At 40.2% G+C, this 23,057-nt stretch overlaps 1 protein-coding gene across 1 annotated transcript, besides 1 other annotated feature; it reads right to left on the reverse strand.

Moving 5' to 3' along the window:
- Nucleotides 1-3,968: 3,968 nt before the first annotated feature.
- On the reverse strand, nt 3,969-22,156 carry PSMB1 (proteasome 20S subunit beta 1). The gene is made up of 6 exons (NM_002793.4): nt 21,979-22,156; nt 17,855-17,962; nt 14,952-15,033; nt 12,450-12,579; nt 6,083-6,189; nt 3,969-4,254 (listed from the first exon to the last, which is right to left on the reverse strand). Exons 1-6 carry the CDS (start codon nt 22,089-22,091, stop codon nt 4,069-4,071), a joined length of 726 nt encoding a protein of 241 aa, NP_002784.1. The 5' UTR covers nt 22,092-22,156; the 3' UTR covers nt 3,969-4,068.
- Nucleotides 21,909-22,288: an enhancer, noted in NCBI's record as "active region_25467". NCBI's record gives its function as "activates an Ori minimal core promoter by ATAC-STARR-seq in GM12878 lymphoblastoid cells {active_cell/tissue: GM12878}" and the evidence as "EXISTENCE:reporter gene assay evidence [ECO:0000049][PMID:35858748]".

Below are 23,057 nucleotides of genomic sequence, written 5' to 3' on the forward strand. Positions count from 1 at the left end.
CAAGGGGACAGTACACAAAGTCAGACAATGTTAGCTGAATCACTGAAGAATGAGAATATCACACCCACTTAACAAAGCAGCCCAGCTAGTTAAAGAAGTATGTTGAAGAGGTAGGGAGTTGGGTGGGGGAGGCGAGGATGGCGTGGAGGGATCTGAAAACTATCAACCTTAAATAATGAGATTTAGAAAATATGATTAAGTAGAGGGTTAATTCGAGTGCAGAGCTTGAGAATGGCCACCTGGAAACACTGACTCTAAACCAGTAAGGTTAATGTTTCAAAGTGGAGAAGTTAAGGTTTCACTTAGAAATTTTAGCAGGATCACATTTTCCATACAAGACCAGTGCATTCGCCACAGCAATTTGATTGGTTATAGATTGCTGCTCATTCCAAGATTACTTTATTACTCTGTGCGGAGGAGTAGTGATTTGAGGGGTCTTATGTCTGGTGCCTTTTTGTCTTGTTTACAGGGGAAAAGGCAGAAGTTGCGCCTGCATGCCGCATAACTCAGGCTCTGCATAGCCACATGTCTTTCAAGGCTCAGAATAATTTGAAGTTCCAACAGCTTTAAGTTTGAATTAATTTCACAAAGCGGAGAAAGACTTGGACTTCGTGCAGTAATGAAGACCACCGATGGGTACTGAACAGCTCTGGTGGGTTTGCACTCAGAGAAAGGAGCCTAAGATGCAGAAGGTGCAGTGAGGCAGCAGCCATCTGCTCTTGTGCTGCTGAGCAGAGCATGATGGGCTGTCACCGCTCACGCGTGTTCTTTACCTGCTGACTCACCTGGCGGCATGGGCTGCATATGGGGTCCCAGCTCCTTAAGCTCCTGTCAGGCCCTTCTGCAACTTCTCCCAAGCTCTTGGGCCAGGTGCATGTCTAGCCATGAAAAAGGAGGCCAGTACCTGATCACTAAGTGAAAGTTCTAAGGTAGTGGGACTGCCACAGGTGTCCCCCATGGTCCCAGGTCACAATCCAGTCTGTTGACCCTCCTCCTTTTGCACCATCGCCCCTTTGACAGCCTGTGCTATGGGTTTTAGGCTCCTAGCACCAAACAGAAACAGGCTTATATAGATCATCTAATCAGCTCTTCTTATGTGAGGCCGAACTCTGTAATAAATCTTTTTATGTCTCCTAGGGCTTCTCTGATTGAACCTGTCTGATGAGGAGTTAAAGAAGTTCTCAAATTGTGTATGCATAAGAATCACCTGGGATTTCTAGCTCAGAGACTGGGACAATAGGTCTATTGAACCTAGGAGTTCATTTTGAACAAGTGCTCTACGTAATTCTGATACAGGGAATCTTCCAGTTACAGTTTGAAATTCACAAATACAAGGAATGAGAGACCTAGAATCAGAAAGCATGTTAATACACTTTTGGGCCATTAAGTGCTCACCCAGGTAACAGGTACAGAAAGGCAGAAAAAGGAAACCTATCAGGGTAATAATTATGCCTTTTTTTTTTTTTTTTTTTGAGACAGGGTCTTGCTCTATCACCCAGGCTGGAGTGCAGTGGCACAACCACAGCTCACTGCAGCCTTGACCTCCTGGGCTCAAGTGATTCTTCCAGTTCAGCCTCTTGAGTAACTACGACTACAGGCATGTGCCACCATCCCTGGCTCATTTTTTGTAGAGAGGGGGTTTGGCCATGCTGCACAGGCTGGTCTCAAATTCCTGGGCTCATGTGATTTCCCCACCTCAGCCTCCTAAAGTATTAGGATTACAGGCGTAAGCCACTGTGCTTGGCCAAGACATTTTGGTAAGAAATATTATTTTCCTACTAAATTGTCTACATTCCCCTTGGGTAGGCTTGCAAAGTCACTGTGACTACAGCAGGAGCTATTGCTGCATGGGAAATATGGAGACACGAGTGGTACCTGGCAGTCACGGGCTCAGTTTGTTTCTAACCTCCCAAGTCAGCACAGCCCCACTGAGCAGACTGCCGGAAAGTATTTATGCCATCTGTCGGATAATTAAGACAAATCCAAACATCTACGTGCATTCTGTGTGTATAAATGGAGTCATGGCCAACCTCTCAAGCAGTTTTCCATCAATCACTTGTAATATTACCAGATACTTCCAATCCCCTTGCAGGCAGTAATGAAGAGAAAGTCTCTACATCAGCAGCTTCTCACTGGAATCTTCAAGCCTAACTCTTAAGAATGAATCATACTTCTAATGTTTATCAAAGGTTTTCTTTTCACACAAGGAATGTGCCTGAATGATCTATAAAACTACCCAAATAACTAGTAGCCAGGTTAGCTCTAGGAGCCATATGCCAAACACATTCTGGACTAAGTCGTGTTCACTCCAAAACTAAGACCATGTTCAAAGTCTACAGCAATACTGGATTAAAACAATGTTAGCTGAAGGTTGTAAAAAAACATCATGGAACACTAATTATGTGCCATCAATCATTACTCAATTTGTAGAACTTCCCTATACACCTTGGGAGGTGAGAACCTTATAGAAAATCCTAGATACACAACTTTATATAAACAGAAAATTCCAAAATGGGAAATCCTTTAGAATAAGAATATACCTAGTGTATATAAAGAAGAAAAAATGTAGATTTGAAATTGGGATACTCTACAGTTTTTAGTTGGGACATTGGGATAGTTAATTTTAGGTGTCAACTTGACTGGATTAAAGGATATCAAGACAGCAGGTAAAGCATTACTTCTGGGTTTGTCTGTGAGGATGTTTCCGGAGACTGGCCTAGGAGTTTGTGGACTGAGTGCAGATCAGCCTGTGTGAGCAGGCACCATCCAACTGAATGGAGCCCAGATAGAACCAAAAGGCAAAGGCAAATAATTCACTGTCTTTCTCCTCGAGCCAGGGACTTGATTAGCAACCCCTCACACCCAACTCCTTATTTTCAGGACTTCAAGGGTTATACCATCAGCTTCCCTGGTTGTGAGGCCTTCAGACTTGGACTGAGCCATGCTGCCAGTTTCTCTGGCTCCCCAGCTTGCAGACAGCCAGGCATGGGAATTCTCAGTCTCAATAACTGAGTGAGCCAATTTCTTTAATAAACCCTTTCTCATCTCTCTCTATATACAAACATATCCTATTGGTTCTGAGTCTTTGGAGAATCCTCATACAGACACTGTTAAGAGATGAACCAGGTGTTACCACTGTGTCCCCAATGCCTGGGATAGTGAGTGACAGTATTGATGTTTGTGCAATAAATGTTTACAATGTGTATCTACTAGCAGCTTTCGATAATTTGAATTATTTATAAAAGGCAAAATAAACAAAAGTGGTATCTAAGATTAACCACTAACTTAGTAAAATTCCATTTATACCACAGGTTGTTCTGGTACAAAGCATACAATAACTCCCATGTTACATATAATTTGACTTGTTCAATAACAAGAAAATTACTCAAATATTATAATGGAGTTAAAATGTATTTAATAGATCTAAAAAATTTTGGCTCTATCAAAACTTAGGTCTCAATTATAACATTACTAAAGTGCTTGTAAAAATTATCCCAGATTTCTGGCTACAGCTTGTATAAAGGCCTATTTTTTTTTTTTTACAGTTTTATTTTGGTTGAAGATTTTTCTCCAAAATAGCTATTCCAGATGGCTTAACAGTCCCAGAAGTGAAAAATCTTAAGATATTTCATTTATAACCATTAGAGTCTTAATAAAACCCTAGTAAATACTCTCCCTTCTGGATGGTTTAAAGGTCCCTTCAGGCAAGCTGGCTGCGTAAACACCAGAGCCCTCTTCATAAGATAAGTTTGCTCAAAAGGTCAACTTTTACAGAGAAATTCCTACCTCATTAGTGTAAGGGAAAATTAACATGACCTGTTTTCATTACTTAAAATGCAAAAAAAAAAAAAAAAAAAAAAAAAAAATCTCAGAAAAATAGAAAAGGGTGGGAAAAATGAAGAAAATTAAAAGAAATTCTACTTCCTATATCTGTCCTGCTTAGAGAAGACAAGTTATAGCAAAATGAGTACTTCAGGTTTCTCTTTTAATAAACAAAACCATCCAAGGTACAGTTCCAAAGTACAAAATCAACCAGGTCTGAACTGATTGGTGATAAGAGCACACAGATCAGTCCTTCCTTAAGGAAACAGTTTCCTCCCTGATGCCCTCTTTGGTCACTATGCAGATCCGGAGTGCGTCCCCAGTGTACACATCTCTCTCAGCCGCAGAAATGAAGACATCTTTCACCAGCCGCATGGCTCTGTCCAAGGACAGCGGAACATGCTCCACATTCTGCATGTTCTTAAAACCAACCTGGTGGGACATGAAACTTGGGTGAGATGTCATGTGACAGTGAGCACAAAGGAAAGGTTCAAGTTTCTTCCAATACCCTCATGTGTACGAGGATTTGTGATGAAAATACTACACAAAATTAAAATGTCCTTCAGACTGAATAAAGACCCTTCCAGACCTGGATGAATTACACACATCAGAAATCTGACAACGATTCCCTGGCAAAGCTCCCACTCTTGAGAAGCACATGACCCGGAGAGGTGGACGTATGCAAGCAAAGTGATCAGAGAATTGCTATAACTAAGAAGAAAATAAGAGCCAGGAGAGCCCCAACAGATGTCCACTAAGTCTCCTAGAAGAAGACAGGCTTCAGCAGAAAGGACTTTTAAGTAGGTGAGCGCTGAAGGCTACACTGAAGAGCACAGAACATTCCAGACTGAAGATGTGGGACGGAGTTAGGAAAAGCACATCTTTTCTGAGAAAAGCAGAGTTAGGGTCTGGGTGTAGTGGGGTGACAGGAGATGAGGTCAATAAGCAATAAGCAGAGGAGTAGCTATATATGACATCCTTCAGAAAACTGAGCAGGAGGAATTAGGGAAGTAAACTTGTAGGCAGAAAGGATGTTAGGAAATAAATCCAATAATCTAATAATGTAGGTCTGAATTTAGCCAGCAGTAATCACAAAGAGGGACGAATTAGAAATACAGGCGGCCTTTGAATAACACCGTTTTCAACCACTCAGGCCCACTGACACATAAATTTTCAGTAAACACACTGAGAAGTTTTTGGAGACTCGCAACACTTTGAAAAACTCAGATGAGCCAAGTAGCCTAAAAATACCTTAAAAATTAAGAGAAAGGTATGCCACAAATGTATAAACTATATGTAGATACTAGCTATTTTATCATTTACTACCATAAAATACACATAAACTGATTATAAAAAGTTAAAGTGATCTCTCAATGTTCTCCTTTGTTTTTCATTGTGTTTAGTGCGATTATTATAAACCTTAAATAACAAGTGGCCCAAACAAAGCACTATTAGTGATGCTGGAACTGCTCCCCAAGAAGCAGGGAAAGTTATGACATCACAAGAAAAAGCTGAATTGCTTGATATGTACTGTAGATTGAGGTCTGCAGCTGTGGTTGTCCACCACTCCAGACAGATGATTCTCCTTGTAAACAGATGATGTAAACTTACAGTATCAACAAATACAGTATTGTAAATGTATTTTCTCTTCCTATAATTTTCTTAATAACATTCTCTTTCCTGTAGTTTATTTATCATAAGAATACAGCACATAATACATATGTAAAATACGTGATAATCCACAGTTTACATTATTGGCAAGGCTTCCAGTCAACAGTAGGCTTATTTGTAAGTTTTCTTGGAGTCGAAAGTTATATGTGGATTTTCCAGTGCTCGGGGAACTGGCGCCCCAATCCCCGTGTTGTTCAAGGCTCAACTGTATGCTTGGGAGTTCAAGTACAGTATTGGGTAACACAGAAAGGGGGGGTAAGAGGGAAAAAGGCATTTTTATGATCTTCAGGTAAAGACAGCAAGAGAATTAGCCACTACAGACATAAAAGAGTTGGAAGCCATGAGAATACAGGAAAACAATCAAAACCATGGGAGTAGGTAAGGACCCACAAGAGAGTAGGCAGAACACAGAGAGAGACCATGAGGTTTCTGTAGGACACGTCTGCCAAACTCAAACAGTAATTTATAAGAAAGTCTTTATATCTTGGCTCTCCTAAGCTAATGAAGAGGAGAACTTGGAGGAAGGCACTTCAACTGAACACCATGACAAGTTGGACATAGTATCATTACCTGGACACAGTATCATTACCTGGTTGTCAAGCAGGGGCTGTAGCATGGCACTTGCTGAGCCTCCAGCCTTGAAGGAGTCTCTCTGGTAAGACCCTACTGGATCAAAGCTGTATACAGCCCCCTTTCCTTAAAGAAGAAAACAGTATTCATAAGGATGGTATCCAATCACAATCCCAAATCATCGCAAAAATAAATCAGGTCAAAACGTGACACAAAACGGACTATCACCTTGGCTAAAACTTCAGGGAACAGTTGGAACACAGCCACTGTTGCACTGGTGACAGCTGCAGCACACACACTGTTGCACATGTGACAGCCAGAACCCAGTCACCATTGCACAGGTGCCACCCAGCAGACAGCCCCAATCCCCGTGTTGGTGTGTTGTTCAAGGGTAAACTGTAGGCTTGGGAGTTAAAATACAATATTGAGTAACACAGAAAGGGTGGGTAAGAGGGAGAAAGGCATTTTTATGATCTTCAGGTAAAGATGACAAGAGAATTAACCACTGCAGATGTAAAACAGTTGGAAGCCATGAGAATACACAAAAATAATCCAAGCCATGGTAGTAGGTAAGGACCCGTAAGAGAGTAGGGAGAACACAGAGAGAGATGGTGAGGTTTCTGTAGGACACATCAGCCAAACTCAAACAGTCATTTGTAAGAAAGTCTTTATTTCTTGGCTCTCCTAAGCTAACGAAGAGGAGAACTTGAAGGAAAGCACGACTTATGTATATAGACAGGTCCAAGGGACACATCCGCAAGACACAGTAAAACGAAGAGAATTCTGTAACCTGTAAAATACGATACTGCTTTTGTTTAAAAGAATAAGAAAACTATTTGTACAAGCACAAAAAAGTCTGGAAAGATAAGTAACTGTGGCTGGTCATCTTTGAGCTCTGAATTAGAGGCAAGAAAAGAAGGGAATTAATTCATGTGCTTCTATCTTATTTGAGTTTGTTACAAAGAACACAGGTGATTCTACAATCGTTAAAAAGGCCTGTTAAAAACAACCGTGTTCTGGGTATGAGAAATCACGAGTCATTTACAAGGTATGATTTTTTAAAAACATAACTGATTTAGAAAACACATTATATACCAGAACTCAGTACCCTGGGAGATGTGATATAGGGACAATCTCCTTACTAACCATGTACAACTGCCACTGTTAGCTTTGTATGTTTTCTACTATAGAACTGCGTAAACTTGGCCAGGCGCGGTGGCTCACGCCTGTAATCCCAGCACTCTGGGAGGCTGAGGTGGGCCGATCACGAGGTCAGGAGTTCGAGATCAGCCTGGCCAACACAGTGAAACCCCATCTCTACTAAAAATACAAAAATTAGCTGAGCATGGTGGCACGTGCCTCTATTCCCAACTACTTGGGAGGCTGAGGCAGGAGAATCGCTTGAACCCAGGAGGCGGAGGTTGTGGTGAGCCGAGATCATGCCACTGCACTCCAGCCTGGGCAACAGAGCGAGACTTGGTCTCAAAAAAAGAAAAAGGATTGTGTAAACTGAATTCTCTGGTGGAGAAGGCACCATCTGAGGTCACCTAAGAAACTGGGAAGTATTTTTGCTGGAAGCAAGCTTGGGACAAGACATGAGATCACAGCAGGCAATCCACTAACCTCAATATACAAAAAAAGAAAGAGATGTAAGGTGTAAAGGCAGAAAAATGATTGTATCTCTCATGAGGATGACAGGCCACAAGTAAACTGAGGCCCAAAAGCTTTACCCAAGGATGGAACCAATCTCAGAAAACCACACACAACAAATTTAAAAAAATAAACCAAAGAAAGGGTGGGCTATGTCCAAGAACACAGCTTTAAAGACCCCCTAGAAGAAGCAAGAGAGACACTAGTAAAATCAGTATAAAACAGCAAAAATCAATAAATAAAAACAAAAATAAATGTAGAATGGCATGAATCTTGATTACAAAGTGCTTTTCCTCATCAAAGTAAAATCCAAAAAGCACAATCATTTCAATGTAAAAAATAAAATCAGACAAGTCTTAAAAGAAATACAGCTAAGCTTTGGATGGGAGAAGTTTTTCTAACAAGGCAAGAAACTGAATGTCATAAAGAAATGATTGACAGATTAGACTGTATGAAACACAGCAATTTCTGTGTAGCAAAAGGCACCACCCAAAAGAGACAAATAACACTCTTGGGAGTATCTATAATATCACAGACATTTGACACAGTCGAATGTAGTTCTTGAAAATCAGTAAGAAGAAAACTAACCTGCAAATAAGGAAATGGGCAACAGTTAATATATGAATCAGTCTCCAAAGAGGAAATTTATAAAGTCAATAAACATATGAAAACATGCCCAAGAATATATATAAATGAAAATAATAAACTGTTCAATAGGCAAAAAGATGTTTCAAAATGTGTTAATTCTAATACTGGGAAGGTTATATAAAATCGGGTACTCAGGGTACTGGCGTATCCTTCAGAAAGAGTATACTCAACAAAATACAAAAAAAAATTTATCTGACCCAATACTTCAACTACTCGAAGTTTATTCTAGCAAGACAAGCATAATTGGGGAAGTACACAAAAATGTATGTACAAGGATGTTCATCATAGTGTTTATATTAAGAAAACAGGAAGCCAAAATGCCCTTTAGAGGACTGGTTAGGTAAATGATGCTATGTATTACAGCAGCAAAAACAGAAGACAAAAAAATTTTTTGTTAATTAAATACAAAAATCATTATGCATATAGCTTAGATCTCCTTGATAATACATAATGTATAGTTACAGAAAAACAGATACCAAAGTCCTACTTACATAAAACTGCATGAGTGTATGTATAAACATGTACTGATTGTTTTCACTACAGAAAAACTAAAGCCACTTTTAATTTGGGAGAAAAATTTTTAAAAGGCATGAGAGCAGCTAAGAGATTAAAGACAGAGAGGTTAGTGCAGACAGCGGTTGACACCAAGGGAAAGAGCTGTGGACCTTGCTGTCCTGAAGGTTTCAATATGGAGCACTGCTCTCCAGGTCCCTGCATCCACCAACACAGAAGACAGTAAAGGAAGTCTCCTGAGACATTAGCAGAGGCTCTGGACTTAGGGGACCAGGCTCTAGAGTGGCAAAGGGTAGGAGCAAAACACATGAAATGGAAAGTTGATGTAAACAAAACACAGACCTTCAGCCCCCTTCCTCCTCTGAGGCCTAAAAAGCTGCCAACCGGGCTTCTCTTCCTGTAGTCCCACCTCACCTCAGGAAAAAAGATTAAAGAAATTCTTCATCTGAAGAAAATGCTGCTTACTTAAGCACCCAGTTAACGGCTGTCAGTTGACAAGCCATGTCAACAAGGACTTTCATAATCAAATTTTGGTACAAGACTCTTCAATGTGAATGGACAGCAAAAAAAAAAAAAAAAAAAAAAAAATCAGAGATTTGAAGGAAGCCTCTAACATAGAAGACAGAGGCCAAAAATGAACACATAACATGAAAAAAAAAACATTCTGATGAAATACAGAAAACTGCAAAGAAAGTAAACAGGATTTTTTTTAAAAAGACAAAAAATAAGTACAAGCTCTTGGAAATTAATGACACCAGAAATAAAAGCAATCAGTAAAGGATGAAAAGCTAAAATTAAGGAAATCTTCATAAAGTAGAACAAAAAAGACAGACATGGATAACATGGGGAGTCAAAAATAAAGTACCGGGTCATAATCCAGGTGGTTGTGGAGAAGGTGCAGAGGGGTAGGGGAGGAGGAGAGGAAAGAAGGTGGAGAAAGAGGATAAAACAAATAAGAAACTCTAGGCAAGGAACATCACTATACAATTTCAGAACACCAGGGTAAAGAAAAGATCCTAAAAGCAAAGTCTCAAAAAGGTCCCGTTTTGTTTTTTTCAGAAATCTTTTAGGAGGTAAGCCTCTAAAATAAGGAAATAAATCAAGAAAGAGGAGAACACAGGATGTGGGGGAATCTCAGGATGGCAGTGGTCCATCCTGGAGCAAGGGGAAAAGGGATCCACCTAGTATGTGAGGTCTGACAACCAGATGAATTGTACTCAGAGAATGTACAAGGAACTGACAAAAAGTTTAAAGAAATCTGAGCCAATTAGAGATAGTTAACTTAAGAAAAAAATAAAAACGAGTTACACAAGAAAGAAAATATTAATGCATGCTACTTGGCGCAACAAAGATCAATATCTATCTGGTCATAATAAAAACATTAAAGGTCTATGTTACCAAAAGTGTAATGTGTTAAAGGAGGATGCTAATGAGGAAGAGGACACAAAAGAGCTAAGAACCATCATCTACCAGAACAAAACACCAAAAGATATCTCAAAAGAGTGCAGTACAAATACAGAGTTTTGGAAAATGGAGGTAAGTACCAGGAAATACAGGTAAAAGAGCTGAAAACTGTCTTAGGGCAATGGAAAAAAAAGATAGAGGACTGCTTTATTATTCACACAAATTCCTCTATAAAATAAAAATTAGTTTAAAGAACACTTAAAAGCCAACCAGACAGACAAGCTTAGAAAGACAGTTCTAGAGACACCTGAGGTTGTCACCAAAACTAGCAACACTGTTACATGGAAATCAAAGAACAGGGCTCTGAAGTGAAACAAAAGCCAAACCTGAATCTTAGGTCTGCTGCTTAGTAGGTATCAGCTTTCCCAGATTAGACTCTCTAACTCTCGGAAAAACTCAAAGGATGCTGTCTGGCCTGCTGAAATTCAATGGCAGCTCAGCTATTTTTAATGTTGCTAAAATCTGAATCTATTAATCTGACATTAAAGCCAGGCATAATGTAAGTCAAAAAAGACACCAGAAGCATCCAGCTTGCTAAGTTAGGCAAATTAATTTGTAGCTAGACTCTAATTACCCATGTTAAAGGTAATTCATTTCTATTTTTACTATTTCTACACTTTACTTTTTCTCTTGGTTTTCAAGTAAGGTTGAAAGCCTTAAAAAGAAATTGTGTCAACCTAATTTGTCTACGCCTAAACCATGGCAGGTAAAATGATCAGAATGTTCCCCAAGGCTGTGTATGGGGGCGGATGTTAAGAGTCAGAGATAGCGCACGCAAAGAAAACGCTCATGGAACAGAAAGCGATAGGAGTCAACAACCGAGAGGCAGGGCGCTGAAATGAAGCTTGACCCTTTCCTCTTAGAATTTTCCCTCACAGGATTTAGGGTCCCCAGTCCCCTTGCTTTCTTTCTGTGTCCAACTGAGATGTTCTGTGATGTGGCCAGCCGCATGTATTCCCCTGGAGGCTCTGACCCAAGCCAAGGCCTGCCTTGAACATTCCCAGGCGCTGACAATGTTGTTTAGGCTATTGCTTGAAACACTGAGAAATTACCCCTGTTGCTAAACACACAGAAACTATCCCTGGCCCTGAACCAAATTCCTTCAACACTCAAATCAACTCCCTCACCTTGGACACATCTTTTCCTGCTGTCTGCTGAGAGGACTGCTGCAGCACTAAATGCTTTTGACTGATTACCCTGAGATTTAGTGTTCTGGAACCCCAACTAGGTTCGGGGCAGTCCCTTACAGGAATTCCTCTGCCCCTACTTTTAGGGCAACTTCAGCCACAGGTTCAGCCAGAAGGAACACAGAAGATGGGCTTACTCCAATGATATCCTCATCTAGACACTTCTGTAACTTCTTATCTCAATGGACTACTCTAAATGACACAGATGGACTACTTATCCATCTGTGTCAATGGACTACTCTAAGTGACAAAGATCTGTCCTGGGACACTGTACTTGTATTTGATTTTTAGATGCAACCAAAAGCCAATCCAAATGAGAACATTTGGATTGCAAATGAGAACAAATGGATTGGAACATTTGGATGGAAAACATTGGTGCCCATGTGGCGTAATGCAGCTCTGGAACAAAAATGGGATGGAATATTAAGTAACAAGACTTAATATTCTCAGGGAATCCTGGTCTGACTCTGACAAAATCAGAGAGGTGTTTCAAAAAGTTCTGAAAACACTGGAGTAGATGCTTATTATTAATTACCCCAAATGACTTCTAGAACCGTTAAAGAACTTTTTTGAAGTGTATTTGTTAATAAAAAAATTTTCAATACTCAGAATCACATTTAGGTCAAGCTTTCTAGGTCCGATTTCTTTCTATAAGATAAAAATGCCTAATTATTTACTACTAACTCATGCAAGTTCCTGAGAAAATAGCAAAATAACTGGCTGCTCAACATTCACTATTAGAGCTTCAATGTGCCTTTGGAGGTCATACATTAGCTTCAGTTTCTTCATCACTTTCATTATCAGAAATGAAATGAGAATTGTGTCAGATGGTATTTATGGTTCTTTTCAACTCTAGATGGATACACACATCTAGGGAATAATAACTCCTCCCCCCCACCATTTTCCAGAAAGAAGGAATTCTACCTTCTTCATCAAGTCCACCGATGATGTTGTAAACATAGTATGGAAAGAAGCGCCTTGAATACAGGATTGTAGACAGCATTGCAGCAATTGCCCCCGTAGTCATGGCCTTATTATTGGAATGCTTATACATCTGCAATTATTGATAAAAGTCACAGGCATGTAGAGGCAGAGGCCATTATAGACTAGAACAATCAACAGTATAAAGTGAATAAATAAATGCATACCACAGTGGAAGGGGAAAGCATGCCTATTTCCTTCATGATCAACCAACACAGTATTACTAACATAAAATTTTAAGGGAAGGAATGCCAAGTTTGCCCTCAGCTCTCTGGTTTAGACTCTATTTTCCATACCACCCTTATCTCAGGTACTGCTAATCCAAGAGCTAATGTGTATGAAAGGGCACATGAAGTGGCCTAAGGAAGATGGGTTTAAATCCATCTCTCTCCCTCACTCTGCATATAGACCAGGGGTCAACAAACTACCCCTGTAGTTTGGCTCAGGGGCCAAATCCAGCCTACTCCCTATTGCTATGAATATTGTCCGTGGCTGCTTTTTCACTACAGAAGCAGATCAAATGAGGCCCATAAAGCTGTAAATATTTACTATCTGGTCCTTTACAGAAAAATTACGGCAATCCCTGATCAAACCTAGATGTAAGTCCCTCTCTTTGTGGAGCAGATCTCTGTGAGAACAGAAGACACAGGGCAGCACCCTTACTCTGCATGATTTTAATACACAGCAGTGGTCGTGATCCTTAAAACATCTACAGTAGAGAACACAAGCATCCAAAACAGGGTCTTAGCATGACAATACAGTGACTGCAAATCCTAGCTTTACTATACCTTTGCGAGCCCTACATTACCCACTGGTAGAGAAACTTCACAAAAATTATAAACATAAAATGAATTCAAGATCACCAATTTTTGTTAACCACATAGCAAACATCTCTAATGAGAAACTTAATGGCCAGGCATAGTGGCTCACACCTGTAATCCCAACTGAGGCGGGAGAATGTTTGAGCCCAGGAGATGAAGGCTACAGTGAGCTACAATGGCGCCACTGTACTCCAGCCTGTGCAACAAAGTGAGACGCTGTCTCTAAATAAATAGACAGATAGATATCTAACTAGCACCGTAAAATTAAATAATGACAGTCAAAACACTGAAAAATGATTAGAAATGAACTACAAGTAACAGGTAAGTTTTTTATAGAGGAATGCCTTTCCAAGATAAAAACTATAAAAAATTATTCATAGGCCGGGCACAGTGGCTCACTGCTGGCCTGTAATCCCAGCACTTTGGGAGGCCGAGATGGGTGGATCACCTGAAGTCAGGGGTTCGAGACCAGCCTGGCCAACATGGTGAAACCCCGTCTCTACTAAAATACAAAAATTAGACAGGGGTGGTGACAGGTGCCTGTAATCTCAGCTACTCGGGAGGCTGTGGCAGGATAATCACTTGAACCCAGGAGGCAGAGGTTGCAGTGAGCCAAGATCATGCCATTGCACTCCAGCCTGGGCAACAAGAGTGAAACTCTGTCTCAAAAAAAAAAAAAAAAATTTCATTCCATTTCATTTCGAAACCAAGCACCAACATTTATTTACTTCACCACCTAATAAAGTATGAGAGAAAAACTTCAGGAAGGGGTGTGTATTATGTAGAATTCACCATTCCTTGTTTTATTAACAATATCATGTTTACTTTTGTCTTCTAACTCCCATTTATAAAATAAGCATTAGGAATTATCATATAAATATGCCAATAAATGTAAGTCACTATGGCTTTCAATGTAAGTTTCTAAAAAAGCATTAACAATTGATAAATACTGAGTGAAATCCTTTCTACACATTCAAAAAGCATGTGTCAGTTAAATAAATATACTATATACTCCAGTAACCACTCATAAGTGTAAATAATCTCAAGTGTTATTCATGAATAGGCAAAACAGAATGTGATCACCCCTGACTTCTGGCAGCTGGCTATCAACTGAAGCTGGTCAGGTGACAGACGTTAATGGTGCATGTTGTGCCTCCCATCCAAGCTCCCAGCTTATTCATTCTTTCGTATTTCTACTCATGCATCCTGCCAACTAAGAGCACAGCACTGTAAAGAGGAAAAGCTTGTCAACTGATGGTGATGCAAACCAAGCTCCTGTGTCAAATCTTTCCTGGGCTCTCTCCTGCCACAGAAATTGATTTGCTTTGTTTTTGAGGGAAGAGTATCTTCAGAAGAAGAACTCCTCCCAGGCTCCTTCTAAAAGGGTAGAGAACCCTTCATATGATACAAGACTTTAACAAATGGAATGTGCTGCTGTTTCACATTATGCTACTTTAATGACCCTGCATTAATGATATCATTTCATTTCTAGCATACATTTGTAATTCATCTACTAACCTAGTGACTCTCTAGCTATCTGACCAACAGTCATGCTGTAGGCTTAAAAGAATTTAATGAATTACTATTAATTTAAAATAGTGTAGAAATGTACAAAAGCATCTACCTTTAGTCTTGCTTCAATAATCTTTGTCAGCGTAAGACAGTCTCCATGAAAACCGCTGCATCCAATGACTGTTTTGTCTGTTCTGTAAAAAGCACATTTCAGAAAACTGAGCTGGTTAGATAGTAGAGCAAAACATATCTTCGGCAATTTTAAATTTAAAATTCTGATTCCCACTATTCCCTAAATGGTAATGGGACAAACAGTCACCCTTCTGGGGAGGAGGGGTCTGTATTCCATCTTACCCCTTATTCCAGATGAATTACAGGTGGATCAAAGACTTTAAAAATGCGACTATGAATGGACTAAATAAATCATGGGTGAATTTTTTTTACTATCTTGGGCTGAGGAAGATACGTAGGTAGGTTAATTGACTGATTTTTGAGACGGAGTTTCGCTCTTGTCACCCAGGCTGGAATGCAGTGGCGCAATCTTGGCTCACTGCAACTTCCGCCTCCTGGGTTCAAGCAATTCCCCTGCCTCAGCCTCCCAAGTATCTGGGATTACAGGCACCCGCCACCACACCCAGCTGATTTTTGTATTTTTAGTACAGATGGGGTTTCACCATGTTGGCCAGGCTGGTCTCAAACTCCTGACCTCAGGTAATCCACCTGCCTTGGCCTCCAAAGTGCTGGGATTACAGGTGTGAACCACTGCACCCAGCCTCGTGAAGGTAGATTTAAACAACACAATCCAAGGGCCACACAGAAAAATTTCATAAATTTGACTACATAAAATTCTACAGGGAAATTTAAGAATAGCTTTTTAAAACCCTAAGAAAATATATTAGTAGCATCTACCCCCAAAGTCTAATTTTAATTCTATAAAAATTCTTACAAATAAGGAAAGCAATAACATAAAGGAAAGATGGGTAACTTCTATGAACAGACAAGTCACAGAAAAAAGAGACATTAAGTCACCATAAACATAAGAGCCTCTATGTTACTCAGAAATCCAAATCTCAAAAAGAGACTATTTCAACCAATTATACTGGCTAAAAATGCCTAACTAACTAAATGCTGGTGAGGTTGTGGAAACAGTATAAACTGATTAACCTGTTAGATGGGCAATTTGGTGGTATTTATTAAAAATTTAAATACACACCACTCTCACCAATTCTATTGCTAGAAATCCATCTTGTTAATATACTTATCCAAGTATGCAAAGGGATGCTCTAGACTCACCAGTGAGTACTCATTTAAATAGCACCCCAAAACAAAACAAAACCTAAATGTCCATCTGTATGGAGAGGATTAAAATTTGGTATAGACATACAAATTCAACCGTGTATTTCAAAAATTAATTCCTAGATCTTGATATGAATCTATAAAGAAACCTAAACAATATTTTGCAGAGGCCACACAATTCCTCTTGGAAACTTACGAATGACTCGCACAAACCATACCTGTCCTACTAGGAGAGCAGCTGACACCTCTAGGGTCATCACTAACATCACCTGATCTATGCCTACCATCAACCTCACTGCACTAAGGTGAAGACGTCCAATCCCCTATAAGGCTTTACTGCCTTTACTGACAAGATTGGTTGACAATACCAACAGGGAAAGACAGAAATCTTAGAACTTCAAGATGCTTTTCCCAAATATCCAGGTGCATCAAAGGAATGGGAGTTTTCATGCAAAGAATACAGTCTGAAACAGGTTTGGAAGAGGCAAGCTTAGTTCTAGGTCAGACCCACAGGACGTGGGATGAGGGATATATACAGGCATTCGTTAATGCTGCATTGTTCTTATTCTCTATCTCTATATCTGACGTGTTTCACAAAAAAAAAAAAAAAAAGTGCTCACTTCACCAGCAAACGTAACTAAAGCAATATTTAAAAGATGAGTAAAAGCTAGTACAAGGATGGTATCCATAAAGTTGTTTTAAAATCTTATTTCTAATATTTACTACTTTCAAGTTGTACAAGTGTCGTCCTTGAGGAGAAAAAAAGGTAACACAAGAGCACCATAAACAGAAAGCAGAAAGGGGGTATCAAAAGATGCAAGTGGAGAGAAACAGAACTGGGAAGACGAAAACAAACTTCATTGCTTTTTAAGATGTGGGCCATCCCTAGGAGCAGGAAAGACAACGTATCTTTTCTTCTGTACCTACTTCCTACAATACAAGGAGGGTCCATCCAAAGGACCTAAACCTCGTAAGTCCCATTCCTATTACAATTCAAGTTTAATTAACCCAGGAATTCATGACCATTTATAAGCATTTCCAAAACTGGTAAATACAGACCACTGCCAATCTGCAGTATGTATTCAGTATTTATGCAGGCTTTTTGTTTTTTTAAGTTTTGGCTTTATTTTCATGTTTTAGGAAAAACATAGCTAGCCTATTAAAACTGAGCTGTGGACATAATTGCTTAGGATATTTCTAAAACGAATGTTTCAGGTAAAAAAAAAAAGTGTGGGGAGGCAGATTTAAAAAAAATATCATTTAATGGATTAATGGTGCTGTGGTTTGAATATTCCCTTCAAAACTCATGTTGAAATTTAATTGCCATTGTGATGGTACTGGGAGTTGGGACCAGGTGTTTAGGTCCTAGGGCTCAGCTTTCATGAATGGACATTATCACAGCAGTGGGTTCGCTTGCTCTTCTTTCTTTCTCTGGCCTTCCACCATGTTAAGACACAGCAGGAAATTTTTCATGGTAAAATGCTGGGGTGAACACATTTAGGTTACCGAAAGCACTTTTGGTACCCTGAATACAGCAAATATTATTAAGACTGCACATTAAATTATTAGGAAACATTAACTTAGAAAATGGTTTTCTAATAAAAATGCTCCCAACAGCAACTTAAAAACTCATGAAACAAATCATTTAGAAGTAGAAACTCTCACAACATCAAATCATTACAAAGGCATTGTGAAATGTCTTTAGAAATATTTACTTACAATTTGTAACATTTGGGGCTATCCCGCGTATGAATTGAAAACCCTTCACTCAATCGAGTATCAGAAGCAACAATTGCAAAATCTTCTCCAGCAATTGCCAGTATAGTACTGAGGAAAAAAGAAAAAAATTAATTCTCCAGGGTGGTAATCCTATCCCTACAAATAGAAGAATGCTCCATAGTACATAATGGGATAAAATACTCTAGATGTCAACAAAAACATGATTCAAATGGGAAGAGGAAAGATGAGCGGGAAGAGAATGAACGCCTGGCTACGAGTTGTCTGGGAAAAAAAAATTATTAATAAGCCTAAATCAGGGCAAAGTCTCCTTGGCAGGAGTTAACAGAAAAGCCAATGAATTATCATCACCAACACATTAAATACTTACTCGCGCAAGGTACTACTAATACAGAACAACTAAATACCACATCTGTGCCCTTGAGGATCAGGTATAGACAGTGGTACTACAACGCAAGCTCTATGAGTTTAGAGAAGATGAGATTTTTTTTTCTTGCTTCATTTCTTTATATCCAAGTCCTTATATAACGCCTATATAATGCTTATTTCTTTATACCCAATCCCTTATATAATGACAAATAGATGGACAAACAGTAAATTTTTCCCTCTGTGGCTGTACAATTTGACAGCTTATCAAAGAGACTTACAGTAGAATTCCAAAAGCAGACCGCCTGGGTTCTAATTCTGGCTTTCCCGTTTCGCAGATATGAGACTGTGGGTAAGTTACTTCTCAAAGCGTCAATTTCATCATATATACAACAGAGATCACTGCAGTTGCTACCTCATTAGGGTGTTCAAAGGATCAAATATGTAAGCCCTTATAGCAGTCCCTGACATGTAACTGGTCCTCTAGTAAGTGTTAGCTATAAGTGCTATGGCACTGGAGTATGACTAAGCACCTGGGCTCTGGAATTACATGAGACAGAGACCCACTCTTGCTACTTACTAGGTATGTGATCTTGGACAAATCCTCCAAATGCAAGTTGATGATAACAGTACCTGTGTCACAAGGTGTGTATATATATTTGGGTGTGTATATTTTAATGTACAAGGCTTGACTGATAACTATAACCACTGCTTCAATGCAATAGTGGAAATTAAAGGCATGGTGCCTCACAGACGTAAGCACTCAGGAAACTTAAGCCACTATTTTTACTGAGGAGGGATTTGTGCTAAAGCTCTCAAGAAGAAAAGGATGGCATTCCAGGTAATATAAACAGCAAGCAATGGCAAACAGGTAATTATTCAAATAGTACATACATTCAAGCAACTCATTCAGGCAGCCCTTTTTGCATAAGCACATGTAGTGACGTTAAGGTTTATGTGATGGACAGGGTTCCTACTGTAGAAAATCCCAAATGCCAAGCTAAAGATTTTGGAATTTTAGCAAGAAATCATGAAGGTATTCTGAGCAAGAATGATCTGTAGTTGTAACTACTCAAGAGGCTGAGGTGGGAGGACTGCTTGAGCCCAGGTGTTCAAGGCTGCAGTGAGCTATGATCGTGCCTGGGCATTAGAGTGAGACCTGGTCTTTAAAAAAGGAATGCAAGAGAGAGAAAAGTTCCATTTACAAAGTGGGGTTTTAGGAAGACTGCTCTGACAATAACATAGTATGTGAAATGGGACAGAAACACTGTTCTAATACTACTAATGCAATAGTAAGGTAGCAGGGTGAACAGTAAATCCAAAATCATCACAAACACACAAAATAGACAAATTTTTATATCTACGCAAATGTTTTAGGAACTGGGAAAACCAATTATGACATCCAAGATTTAGAACTTAGATGAACAGAATGATGGCATAATTATAAGTATTTTAAAGGAGAGGAGGCCGGGCACGGTGGCTCACACCTGTAATCCCAACACTTTGGGAGGCTGAGGGGGGGGGGGGGGGTCAATTGCCTGAGATCAGGAGTTCGAGACCAGCCTGGCCAACATGGTGAAACCCATCTCTACTAAAAATACAAAAATTAGCCAGGCGTGGTGGCAGGCACCTGTAATCCCAGCTACTCGGGAGGCTGAGGCAGAAATGCGTGAACCCAGGAGTTGGAGGTTGCAGTGAGCTGAGATCGCACCGCTGCACTCCGGCCTGGGTGACAGAGTGAGACTCTGTCTCAAAAAATAAGAAGAAAGGAGAAGAGGAGATGAAGGGGAATAATTAGCTTGCTTTTTGTTTTGCTAGCTGTCTTGAGTTGCCCTGAGAGCAGAAAAACCAGTTAAAAATGTTTTACTGAAGAAGCCGAATCGAGGGACTCATGAGAGGCAGAACTGGAAAACCAGATTTGGGAGTAATCCTCCCAGCAATGAGACATGAAAGAGTGCTGAGCGATAAACAAGGCGGCTAATGACTTAACTACATTTAAAGACAGAGTAGGAAAAGAGAATGAGGCCTCATTTTGCGGAAGCGAAGGCTGCCTGAGAGCCAGCTGCAGTAAACACTAAAGAAAAAGAACAATGACTGAGAAAAAGTAATCAGAAAGATCTAAGTAATTTTTAGGGCAGTAATGGCTTAAACTGGATTACAAGGGATTAAAAAGTGAGTAACGAGTAGGGCATACTGAACACTGAAAATTCTTATTTATAGAGAATAGCCTTACGAAACGGGTCCAATAACCCTCCCTACAATATACAACTTAATTAGTCATCACAGGAAGTGTTAAGGTGTATAATGGAAAAGCATCCATAAACTCAGTGGTGAAATAGCTATGAATTAAGTCCTGGCTCAACTTCACACCAGCTCTCTGACCCTGACAGTTTAACGTCTAATATAACCCTAGGATGCTAATATCATCTAACATTCACTTTTCATGAGGATTAAATAAGATGACAGCTTGCAATTTACAAAATGCATCTCTCTTGATTCTCACCAAAAACTATGAAGCTACTAAGGAAGATAAGGAAATTTAGGTTCAAGAAGTTCAGAAGTACCCAAAGTGTCCTTTAGTGGCAGAACCAAGGCTAAAATCAGACTTTCGTTATCTTTCTAACACACTCCCAAAATGTGCATTTATATTTCAAATTTATGAGGAACCAATTAACATTTTTGCTTTGTTTTTAAAATTTATTTTTGTAGAGATGGGGTCTTGCTATGCTGCGCAGGCTGGTCTTCAACTCCTGGCCTCAAGCGATGATCCTCCTGCCTTGGCTTCCCAAAGTCCTGGGATTACAGGTGCGAGCCACACTGCCCAGCCAATATTTTCTGTTTTAAGAACCATCGGTTCGTTCAAATTGCGTGTGTATATTTTAATGTACAAGGCTTGATTGGTAACTATAACCACTGTTTCAATTTACAGCTCTTCCCTGTCAAGAGTCTTAAACAGAGCATCTTTCTATAACCCTAAATCTCTGGCGTGCCACCACGGAAAATTATACTACTCAAGATAAAGCTGGTAATTAAAATAAAAACCAAAACTTGAACATAACATACAAGAACACACATACTAAAAGGTCCATCTTCTGAGTATTTTGTTTTCCTGAACTTAAGCTAAACGTTAAAAAAAAAAAGCACTTATCTATGAAACTAAGTTTGCTCAGCCAATCCCACCTTCTATTTGAAATAAAACAAAATGATTAAACTGCTACAATTAGAAATAACAGAAATCAGGCGGCTACAATTAGACATCTCGGCTACCAACCCAGCTATGCATCTAACAACACAGACCAAACAACCCTAACTTTTAAGTTTCAGACGCTAACCCTCTACCCTCGCCGGCTGGCATAAGAAACGTGTACATGAGGTCCAGTTTTAATGGTCTTCCACAGAGCAGAGGCTATGTTTCAATTTCTACTTTACTGTCTTACAGCAGCAAGGAGCACGGAGTGGCGGTCCACATAAAAACTCAAATGACATGACTGTAATGGGAAACCCTAAAAACCAAGGCTGTATCGCAATCACCAAGTAAACTTGAGCAAAGCGAGCCTGAAGAGGGAAACACAGGGCATGAGAGGACGGCAGGGAGACCGGCCTTGTGCGGACCCCCTCAGCTCAGGGTTCTGAGGCCTGCAGGAGCCCGGGGCAGCGCCATCACGGCGGTGACTCCTAAATAGGCTTCAGCAGATGGGGGAAGGGCGAAAGTGAAAGCCGCAGCTCTCTGGGGTTTTTACCCTCCGTTGAAAACGTAGGGCGAAAATCGCAGCTGCAAAGGGCCCGCGGCTCTGTGCGGTTCCATCCCCAAGTCTCTGCCAGGAGCCGAATACATGGCTGTAGAGGACAACATCGCACGGCTGCGCCTGCGGATCCGACACTTGCTGTCTCACGGCGAGATGGCTGCCTTGACCGGACGTTACGCCACTTCCGGCTTCTCCTGAAGTTCGCTCCCGGCCTCTCTATCTCACGCTAGTCGTTGCTCCTGGAGGGCTGCACGGCGGCTTGTCCCTTTGGTAGTTGAATCCCGCCCATTCCAAAAAGCGCTGACAGGGATGTAAAGGGTTTTTTTTGTTTGTTTTTTGTTTTTTTCCCCCTCGAAGAAAACATTGGAATTCACCCCAATGGACAAAAATTTAAGTCTGACCATACAAAAAAATTGTCAGAACTATGGCGCAACGGCAACTCGAATAACGGTGGGAACGTTAATTGTCCTGGCTAATAAAAAATGTATATAACATTTCCTATCCTTAAAGAGCTCACAACCTCACTGATAATAAAAAGTACAAAGAAAACAAGCAGTATAACATATGATTACGCCACAATGAACTACAGAAGGGAAAATCAAGGCGTGCTGAAGTCCCACTAAGAAACAACTGCGGAAAGAGCCATGTGACAACAGTGCATGAACTGGGAGTGGCAGAACTGAATATAAATGCATGTGTAAACACAAGCTGTTTGTTTTGCTTAGTGTTCCTTGTCATTCTACACGCTTGAAGATCAGCTAGCGTTCTTGCTGACAGGTAAGGAGGACGCGCTTACTGAGTGCCAAGCACTGCTCAGGCACTGATTCTGTCAATCTCTGTCAATCTCCCGACAGCCCAAGGGTAAGCACTGTTATCATTATTCAATTTTACAGAAAAAAAATGCGGGGGAGAGGTCAGGTAACTTGTCGAAGGTAACGCCGCTAGTTGCTTTAAACAACAACAACAACAACAACAAAACACACTCACACATATACACACACACGCCATTTAAAAATCGATCTTTCCTACGTCCAGCAAGGGCCAATTAGAGATGGCTGTGGCACGGCGGCCCC

The sequence above is a fragment of the Homo sapiens genome, chromosome 6 (genome assembly GCF_000001405.40).
Source record: "Homo sapiens chromosome 6, GRCh38.p14 Primary Assembly".
NCBI lineage: Eukaryota > Metazoa > Chordata > Mammalia > Primates > Hominidae > Homo > Homo sapiens.

Excerpts from the sequence above, each read along its gene's own strand:
- PSMB1 (NM_002793.4), bottom strand. The coding sequence starts at position 22,091 with ATGTTGTCCTCTACAGCCATGTATTCGGCTCCTGGCAGAGACTTGGGG. Across the intron at positions 15,034-17,854 it reads AGCCCCAAATGTTACAAATT|AACAGACAAAACAGTCATTG; the intron begins GTAAGTAAATAT and ends TGCTTTTTACAG. Across the intron at positions 12,580-14,951 it reads TTATTGAAGCAAGACTAAAG|ATGTATAAGCATTCCAATAA; the intron begins GTAGATGCTTTT and ends CAATAATTGCAG.